The 9,751-nt window shown below is 42.4% G+C and overlaps 1 long non-coding RNA gene across 1 annotated transcript; it reads right to left on the reverse strand.

Annotated features, from left to right (window-relative positions):
- Positions 1-823: 823 nt before the first annotated feature.
- On the reverse strand, positions 824-7,969 carry LOC105375224 (uncharacterized). The gene is made up of 4 exons (NR_187886.1): positions 7,915-7,969; positions 3,477-3,570; positions 2,037-2,241; positions 824-1,548 (listed from the first exon to the last, which is right to left on the reverse strand). It is a non-coding gene; the product is annotated as an uncharacterized LOC105375224 (long non-coding RNA).
- Positions 7,970-9,751: the final 1,782 nt, after the last annotated feature.

Consider the following 9,751-nt stretch of genomic DNA (forward strand, 5'->3'; position numbering starts at 1 on the left):
GCATTGTTTATGTGATTTTTAAAAATAACCCTTAATTCTCTGCCCTGACTTTTCAACATTCAGGAAAGAACATTGAGGTAAGAGCCAGAAGGTGTGTGATTAGGCTTGGGTCTACCCCAGAGCGGAGTCAGGGTTAGCTTTTGCCTAGAGTAGGCCAATTCCCTCCTTCCCTTGACTAATCCTCAGGTCCCAAGGATGCTCTCTCCTGAGCAGATGCAAAACAAACTGGACTCTCCAGTGGGGCCCTGTGCATGTCACCTTGGCAAGGATGGAGCTGAAGGGGAAACGAAGCCATGTGGGGTTAGCATAGGGTAGGGGGGAGATGAGGAGAATGGAGGTAAGGCTGTGGTCTTGGAAAGGAAGAGGTGTTCCTCCCTAAGAAAACCATCCCTGGATACCCCTGCCTTCCAGTTCACCCTCCTCCACTTCCTCCTCTGACCTTCTTGCCTTCTCAGAATTATTTATATTCCAGGCTTTCTACCTGTCCATGTTATTCTGCCCGGCAGTGTTCACAGCTGTTCCATGGCTTCTCTCCACAACACAGTCCCAGGGCATTGCCTGAAGATTGCCAGCATAGGTCCCTGGTCACATGGCTCAGAACACTTGCACATTTGCACTGAGTTGAGGAAGTGTAGGCAGCACAGTGTGGCAGTGAAGAGTATGACTCTGAAGCCAGCCAGCATGGGTTTGATTACCAGCTTTGTGACTTTGAGCAAGTTATTAACCTCTTAGTTTCCTCATCTTCCAAAATTGGGACATAATACTGTCTCTCTCACAGAGTTGTTCAATTAGTTTAAAAAATTAATACATGTAAAACATCATAAGCATTTCATAAGTGTTTGCTTTTTTACTGTAAATAGTTCCTGGAAACCAAGTACCACATCTGGCTAATTTCTGTATGCTCAGCCCTATACAGAAATGCATCCTAAATACATTGTAACAGTTCTAATCAATTGTTAATTAATTGATTCCCAGCTTCTTAATGGACTCTGATGTCTGACAGTTATGGGTGTACAGGGTGAGTTAGTCAAGTCTTGCAGCACTGCGTGGATTCGAACACACAGTAAAGGAGTCCGGCAGCCTGAGTTCAAATGCTGGCTCTACTGTTTTTCAGCTGCGATACCCTGGGAAAGTTTCTGAAACTCCCTGAGTTGAAATTTTCTCATTTTCTAAATGGAGAAAGTTTTGCTTTGAAGATTAAATGTGACAGAGCTATTATTATTCCCCTCTTGTGCTTTGCTGAGGATATGGAGTCCATGTCTGTGGGTATGGAACTGGGGCTGAAGATCAGTTTGCAGAAATTCTGGCTTCTGGAGTGTGGTCAGCAACACTTAGACATAGGGCCGCTTGTTTTGTTCTGGTCTTGTCCTGACTAACATCTTCCTCTCTGCCTCCCTTTTCTGTGAAATCTAAGTAACACTGCTGGGTTCAGAGTTGTTTCTGCATGCAAGGCAATCAAAGGTGCTCATACAATTCCTCGATGTCCAAGCTGGACAGCACCTCAGCAACCACACAACCATCCGCACTTCACAGGTAAGGGAATGGAATCTGGAAAAGAAAAGCAATTGGTTTGACCAAATTACATATTTAGCCGTAGCAGAACTCAGACAAACACTGGGTATTTCAGCTGTCTATCCATTGATCTTTGTTAAACCATGGCCTCCCTGAGTTGATGCCACAAGGCCTTCTTAACCCTTACCAAAATAACACAAAATGATGTATATAAATCATTAAAAGGTCCACCAAGCAGAGAGGGGGTAGGAGAGAGGAGGGAAGGGACCTAAATGCATTAATTTCTTTAATTAACATAAATAGTAAGTTAGCTGCTCAGAGTAGGTTTGTGCTTTCTTGCAATTCATTCCTCTACTCTATTCCAACTGAACAGAGGTCATGTTCTGAAATGGTTAAGAATAAAGATTCCAGGTCCCAGAGGCGGAATGCACTTCCAGCATGTACTAGCTATGAGGCCTGCACATGTAACTTCTCTATGACTCCATTTCCTTACTTTACAGCATGAGAAGGAAAGACACACCTACCTCATAGTGTGGTTGAAGAGATTTAATATAACAAGACATCAAAAAACACAGCAGAATCTGCTACATGTTAAGTATTTACTGTATGTCAGTTGTTCTGGATGGATAAAATTGCCACATGGCTGCATTTCAAATGATGAAAATTCTTATTACTTCTTATTCTCTTGCAGTAAGAGATTGCTTCTGTCTGGAATGTTTCCTCTTCTTCCTATCAGAGTATAGGTGGGAGGGGAGGGAGGCATGCATAATGCGGGCCAGGTTCTGAAGGCCACGAGGCAAAATGTATGATGCCTTCTCATACTGACACTCCAGACACTGAGAGCCAAACACATCCTAAGTCCCAGGAGGAGATTATGCTTGGGCCTTGTCAGTTAGTGAAGGGTTTATTGGTCACTGGAATCTGACCAGGCCTCTCTGAGTCTCCCTGCTGCCCGCCCCTGCTTGGGTCTGCAACCTGGGCCTTGCCCAGCCCCTCTTCCCATGAGCAGACCTTGTTCCCTCCACCCTGCCCTTCTCAGGGTTCCCCAAGCCCATCAACCCTTTTCCCATGCTGTATCACTGCACCTGACTTTCCCTCTGCCTGGGACATTCTTACGATTCCCCACCTCCCCGCCAACACCTGGCTTGACCTTTTCTTAGCAATGTGCAAGCTCTGATGCTAGGGTCTCTCTGAATCCGGAATGCTTCTGGGCTCCTGGGCAGCTCCAGCATTTTGTTTTGAATTGTTGTGCTACCATAATACGTGCATTGTGTCTCTCCCCTGCCAAGAGTGGGCTCCTTCTGGGCAGAGACCCATCTTACTCATACCCTCAGCTTCTAACACATGGCCTGGCACATCATAAGTGCCCATGGAGACTGGTAGAGAAATTAGTGCCCCTGCCCACACCTGACCACCATTCTTGCCAGTACAACTCTCAGTCTCTTTCCCTTCTGCATTTAGAGTCTGGAGCTCAGTTAGGTTTCCAAATGTAAATTCTGTCTTTTAATTAAGAACTGTAGAAAAATATATATGTGAATGTGGATATATTTTCAACCTCGATGCTGGCATTTTTTCTACATTTGCTTGTTTTGGAGACTCTCGTCTCCCCTGGGATCACGCCTTTCTCCTGGTAAATGGACAGGAAAGTGAAGACGTGAATATTTTTATCTGACATTATTTTGGAGCATGGCTTTCCTGTTTGCTGTTGTTTCCTTTTCATGGACCATTAGCAGCTTCCAAAGGCAATATCCTTTCACTGTCACACTGTGCCATGGGGGGCCATTTCAACAACTTCAGACTAGGGCATTAAGTGCAATTCTGGATGAGAGTCAGCACATAACCAAATAAAAATAATAAAAGGAAAGCTTGTAGGAGCCATTTGGAACACTGTCCCGTGCTGAATTCATTTGCAGCCTCTCAGAAACCTACCCATCACCAGTGATCAGCCCCAAGCCTGGCCATACCTTATTTAATTGTAAAGTATTTCATATCCTCAGAAACAGCCCTGCTCATTTGCTTTTCCTTTTTTGGAGATTGTCTTGGTGGAATGCTGAGATTCTAATCAGTGGGGGAAAAAGAAAATGCAGGTTTTGATTTCAGCAAGAAAAAAAAAAGGTGCACTTCTTGTAGCTTTTCTCCTCGCCTTAAAATGAGCATTTAGGAGACCTTTTTGGAAATTCTTCTAAAATAGGTGCTTAGCACAGCAGAGAAGATGGTAGAAAAAGCAAGGTGAATTAAGTTCAGGCGCCTAACCCAGCATGAGCCACTGCCACCCTACCCCTGGTCTCCACGTGGATGGCAGTTTCAGAAATGAAGGGGAGAAAAATAAGCATAAGAATTTGTCTCCAGGCCAGTGTCCCTGATGGGCAACCCAGTTGAGAGCAAGGTTCTCCCGGATGGAGAGAGTCCCCTGAGCCTGAATTCCAGGAAAGTCTCAGGTCTAACCAAGTCAGGGCAGGTTAGCCTACATCAGTTTGTCCCCGGCATCACAGCCACCTGGGGGAGCAAGGCTGTTAAAAGTATTCCTGGAGACCTATTACCTAGAAATTCTGACTCAGTTGATTGCGGATGGGTAATGAAAATCCACATTCTATTGGCTTTTCTACATCTCAGTGATGCAGGTGAATAAATACTAGTGGAATATTCAGTAATCAACCAGCCAAGGAATGTTTGTTGAGCGTTTGTGCAAAATGCCATTCCTGAGACCTGAGATGGTCATATATTAGAGCTGCCCCTTCAGTTTAGCATAAGGATGGTCTGTGTTAGAAGACCAGGGATGGCCATTAAAAACACAGCCTTAGGAGCCTGAATAATAAAAGAATAGGAGAATAGGAGCATTCAGATCATAGCTAACATTTATCACACACTTAGGTGGCCAGCACTGTGCTATAAAAGTTTCCTCTACACTCCTTTAAATTAAGGACTGTTTTGTCTTGTTCATTGTTGTCACCTCAGCTCCTAGGACAGGACCTGGCACATAGTAACCGCTCAATAAATATTTGTTAAATAAATGTACAAATGCATTATTAGCTTATCCAATCTTCAGACAGCTCTCCGAGCTAAATATTAAATATTCCAGGTACACTAAGATTCTGGGAGGGGGACCAGAGAATCTGTCCTTTTATCAAGCACTTTGAGAGATTCTTAAGATTGACTAGATTTGGGAAGCAGAAAATCTGGACCAAATTCCCTTATGGGTATTTAAATCCCCTGAAAAACAGTCTAATTCAATGTTTCTTCAGCTTATCCTTGAATTTCCTGAAGATAAGATATCCTTGCATTTTCTGAAGATATTATGGTAGTGCAAAACACAGCCCAGACCACAGTCTACTCATTTTAATTATTAAAATTTTTTTTTGAGACGGAGTCTCACTCTGTTGCCAAGGCTGGAGTGCAGTGGTGTGGTCTCGGTTCACTGCAACCTCCACCTCCCAGGTTCAAGCAATTCTCCTACCTTAGCCACCCGAGGAGCTAGGATTACAGGCGTGTGCCACCATGCTCGGCTAATTTTTGTATTTTTAATAGAGACGGGGTTTCACCATGTTGGCCAGGCTGGTCTCAAATTCCTGATCTCAAGTGATCCACCCTCCTCAGCCTCCCACAGTGCTAGGATTACAGGCGTAAGCCACCACATCCAGCTAAAATGTTATTTTTTATGATCAAGTGAATCATAACTTTTCTTCATTTCTACCCATGGCTCTTATTTCTTCTCCAAGTAAAAGATCATGTCCATCACACTGAGCTATCCATTACTGTGCATAATGGAGATTTAAGATTATACCATTTTCCATATATTCAAGGATCAAGCCAGAGGCAAAGAGAATGAGAGATCTATGGCCTGATCCCAGATGAGAGACCTAGGCTCCTGGACTCGTTGGAAATAATACTGTGACCTGAGCTTAGGTAGAACATGGACTCAAGTCTGATAACCTTAGATTTGAAACTTGACTCTTTGACAACTAGCCATGTGACCTTGTGAAAGGCTTTCTCATCTTCAGTTTTCCCGTGTGTGAAGTGGAAATAATAAAATATCATAGCATTGTGAGTGTAAAACATAATAGCTGCCAATAACAAAACCAAAACCACATATAACAAAAAATTAATACGAATATAAAAGTCACAGCTAACATTTATCACAGCCCTATTATGTGCCCAGTATGTTGCTAAACAACTGTCCTCTAAGCCCCTATAAGTTAAGGGACTGTTTTAATTGTTTTGTTCATTGTGGTGTCCCCAGCACCTAGAGCAGTGTATGACACATAGTAATGGCTCGATAAATATTTTTTGAATAAATGAGTAAACCCATTGTTAGCTTGTCTAATCTTCAAAATAGTTCAGAGCTAAATGCTTCTGGTAATCCTATTTGACACAATGAGAAAACTGAGACTTGACAAGGTAAAGTTACTTGTTCAACCAGTAGGCAACAAAGCAGGGATTTAAACCCAGACACATTCCTGTGATCCCTACCAACAAGTTATTGTAGGCATATTGCCATTTATTGACAATATTGGTAAATCTAACCTTATATTTGTATTTTTTTATAAATGTATTTTAATGCCTAATGCATTTTATATTTGTATTCTTACACATCATGACATCTGTTGCTGGAGAGGGGGTGCATTAATTTGGTTCTGACATGAGATCCCGATGCTGCCTTTACTTCCTGTGGACAAATGTGCATGTTCAGAAGCTGGGAACAGACAGGGCAGCAATCTTTTTGTCCAGCTTCTGGTGGCCTTGATGCCTGCTTTGTGAGACACCCAGAATCTTCAGCTGTCTTTTCCTCCCATTGAATAGTCAATAGGGAAAGCAAGAACTCTAAAACTGCTGGACTGAAAATGAAATATGCAATGGCTTCAGGCTATGTTTTCCCTTTGCTGGGAAGCACTGCTATGATAATTGTTTCTACAAAAAGAAACTACAACTCTGGCAAAAAAAAAAAAAAAATCAAACCCTCTGTTTGCTCGAACCTATCATAAACCATTGCTGGTAATTATAGAAACTGATTGTGCGACAGTTTAGTTTAACTTAATTGGCAATTTTTTTTAAGCTGCAACACAGTAAAAATAGTAAAGAACGAGTCAGGTTCTAGAGATGGAACATTTAGCTTTGGTGAAATGTCAAAGATCTGCACACACTGCCAAAGGTGTGGGAATGTAACTGAGCTGTCAGCTCTGTTATTTAAATCCTTGCTTCTTATGTTTTAAATTCTGCTTCCTGAGTGCACAGTCTGTTGTGGACTTGCATCCTATTGTGGCTAAGCAGGTCTTTAAGCAGTTGTGGAAAGAAATGGTCCCCCTAAACCAATATAGAAATATGGCTCCTGTGTCTGGAAGAGATGGCTGTGCAAAACCAATAGCTGTGTCCCATTGCAATTTAAGTATAATCACTTCTTTTGGGGGTTCATTTTACTTGATTAAAAAAATTGATTAAAGCTTTACCTCCTTTTCCATTACTAGGAACACTCTCATTCCTGTTTTCTTTCCTTTGGTCCTTCTCTTTCATCATAATGATTGTCATCTCATCATCATCATCATCATCATCATCATCATCGTCATCATCATCATTCCATCTTAATAATAATGGTAATAATAGCCAGCATTTATGACCACTTCCATAGGACAGATATTAGGTCAAGGACTTTCAACAGATTATCTCATTTAATCTTCACAACTATTTAAAAAGCTACCTATTAGAAAGTGGCAAGCCTAGATTCACACCCTGTCTGTTTGGGACCAGGGCATACAGTTATATCCATGATATTTTCTATCATCTTACAGTTTTGTTTACAACTGGGCCTCCATCTCTGGGACAAAGCTTAGCTAAGTTTCATAGCCAAGGCAGAAAATAGAGCAAAACCTCAGGGCCACCATCTAGTCAGGCTTGGCATTGGTCTTGCTACCTGTAAAGCCAGTATCTAGTATGTCAGGAATGACACTTGGGAGCCTGTGTCCCTTCCAGGTGGCAGTCTTCCATGTGTAATAACCCTTAGCCACGGCTCCTCCTCTGGATGGGCGATCTGGCCTCCTTTCCCTGCCCTACCTGCCAGGTCCCCCCTAGGTTTGGAGCTTTTCCCTGAACACCAGCCCACAATCCAGGGTCAGAGAGACCCCTCCCTACTCCTATCCGTCCCCTTCTCCCAGTGCTTGGATTCCCACTCCTTGTACCTAAGAGTGCATAGTGAAGGTAAGCTGCATATAGAGATGTTTTAGTAACTTCCTTTGAAATGAAAATCACAATGATGGTGATGATTATGGTGATTTATTGAGTGCTGTTTGCCAGCACTATTCCAAGTGCTTTTGCATGTACTAGCTGCCCTCCCAATAACCCTGGGAGGTAGATCTATTGCTTTCACCAGTTTCCAGATGAGGAAATGAGGAGCACAAAGGTTAAGAGACTTACCAAAGGTCACATAACTAGAAAGTGTCAAAGCCAGATGTGCACCCAAAACTGGTAAGCTTAATCATAATGCTATGTTGTGATGTCAAAATAGTGTTACCAATGGTTTGAGGAACCAAACATTCAAAATGCTTCAGACGAACACAACAACTTTTTCAGGTAAGTTGATTTGTGAAAATCAACTTTGCTTTCAAACTTAGCATGTCACTTGGAAATGGCTGTAATTAATGTCAAATTTAGTTCCAGTCTCCTGGAACCTAAATACCATTGAGACTAACAATATTTTCTACATTCTAATTACATTTTAGAATATACTTACATCACTTGATGTTCCAAAGCTTTCTAATGATTGAATTGCAATTAAGAGCCTATGCCATATTCTTACACATACTGTTTTCCTATCAAAGTATAAATGATCACAATACTACCCATATTTGTATGTGACTCATTAACATTCCACCATATTACTGATATTTATACATGCTATTGACATTGATGGTTCCAATACCAGCCAGTTAACAAGGAATGACAGGCTTATTACGTGTTCAGCACTTGACGTATTTAAAATACATAGGTGAGTAAGAAAACTGCTGTGATAAGAAACATACATTTATGACTGTGTATACATAGTCTTTTTCCCTTGTAAAATGGTGGTTAGCAAATTTTAAAAAATTATTTCCTAGAGGTTAGCTGTGGGAGGTCATTGAAGGAAACCTGAGTTGGAAGAGGAAGGAACTAAAGTCAGAACAAGGGCTGAGTCTGTTTGCAAATGAACCGTGAATAAGAAGTAGCATCAAATAAGACAAGGAAATGCAGCAGGTGGCTCAGCTGAAGAAAAGAGAAGTCTGCTCACATAAGGGTCTGGACTGAGGCTGGAGGGTCAGGGACTCAATCATAAAACTACCCTGTATGGACATGCTTTAGAAAAGATAAGTAGGAAAGTATAAATAGAGAAAAAAAAGGTGGCAAATGCTCCAGGGCGCAGAAGCTCCAGAAACCTCCACTTCACTGAGGAACTGCATCAATCTCTGGGGACAACATCAGGGGCTTCTTTTCCCTGATTCTTTTCCTCTGTCCCTGACTGAGACAGAGGGAAGAACTGAGTGACAGGGGGCTGTGGCCAGAGAAGCTTAGTGCCTTCCATCCAGGCTTCCACTAGAAGAGACCTTCTTGAGCTTGTTACCAAACTCTGTGGGCCAGTCCAAAGCTTCCTTCAATTAAGATGCCAAAGTGCCTTTAGCTTCCGGGTGAGAAAAGATTAAGGTGAGAAGGATGGCTAGAGGATGAGGGCCCCCAAAATGGACCTTGAAACCTAGATATTGCTGGGTGAAACCAAATCTGTGGTCTGCTATCAGATTCTATGCTTCCGTGTATTCTTATCTACTAAAAAAAGCTTTCTCCATATAGAATGGCAGCTTTCAAAATTGTTAGGCTAATGTATATTCTTCTAGTTTGGGAGAATATTGAGATTTCTCATTTAACAAACTATAACCATCTGGGATTTTTCCTGGAGGAGATGTCACCTCTTGTGGGACAGAAAATGGAAGCAAGACTTGAGATAGCGCCTAGGACACTGGGGAGCAGAGGCTTCCATCGTGCTTGAGGTACAGTGTTTCTGGTTATGCAGGGAGGGATGGGATGCAGAAAGGTCAGAAAGATGGACACATACTAAGATAATGGACAGACAGACAGACTAGCATGCCCCACCCTCGCCCCAGAACATACCTTGGGAATATGTGGACCTGAGCTGGGGAGAGGAGCTGTATGTGTGTGAGTAGATGGCCCGAGCTGTGCCTGGCAGCCAGGAACTTGGGTTGGAGACCTGGCACCTGTTCGTCCT

This window comes from Homo sapiens, chromosome 7 (genome assembly GCF_000001405.40).
Source record: "Homo sapiens chromosome 7, GRCh38.p14 Primary Assembly".
Classification (NCBI taxonomy): Eukaryota; Metazoa; Chordata; class Mammalia; order Primates; family Hominidae; genus Homo; species Homo sapiens.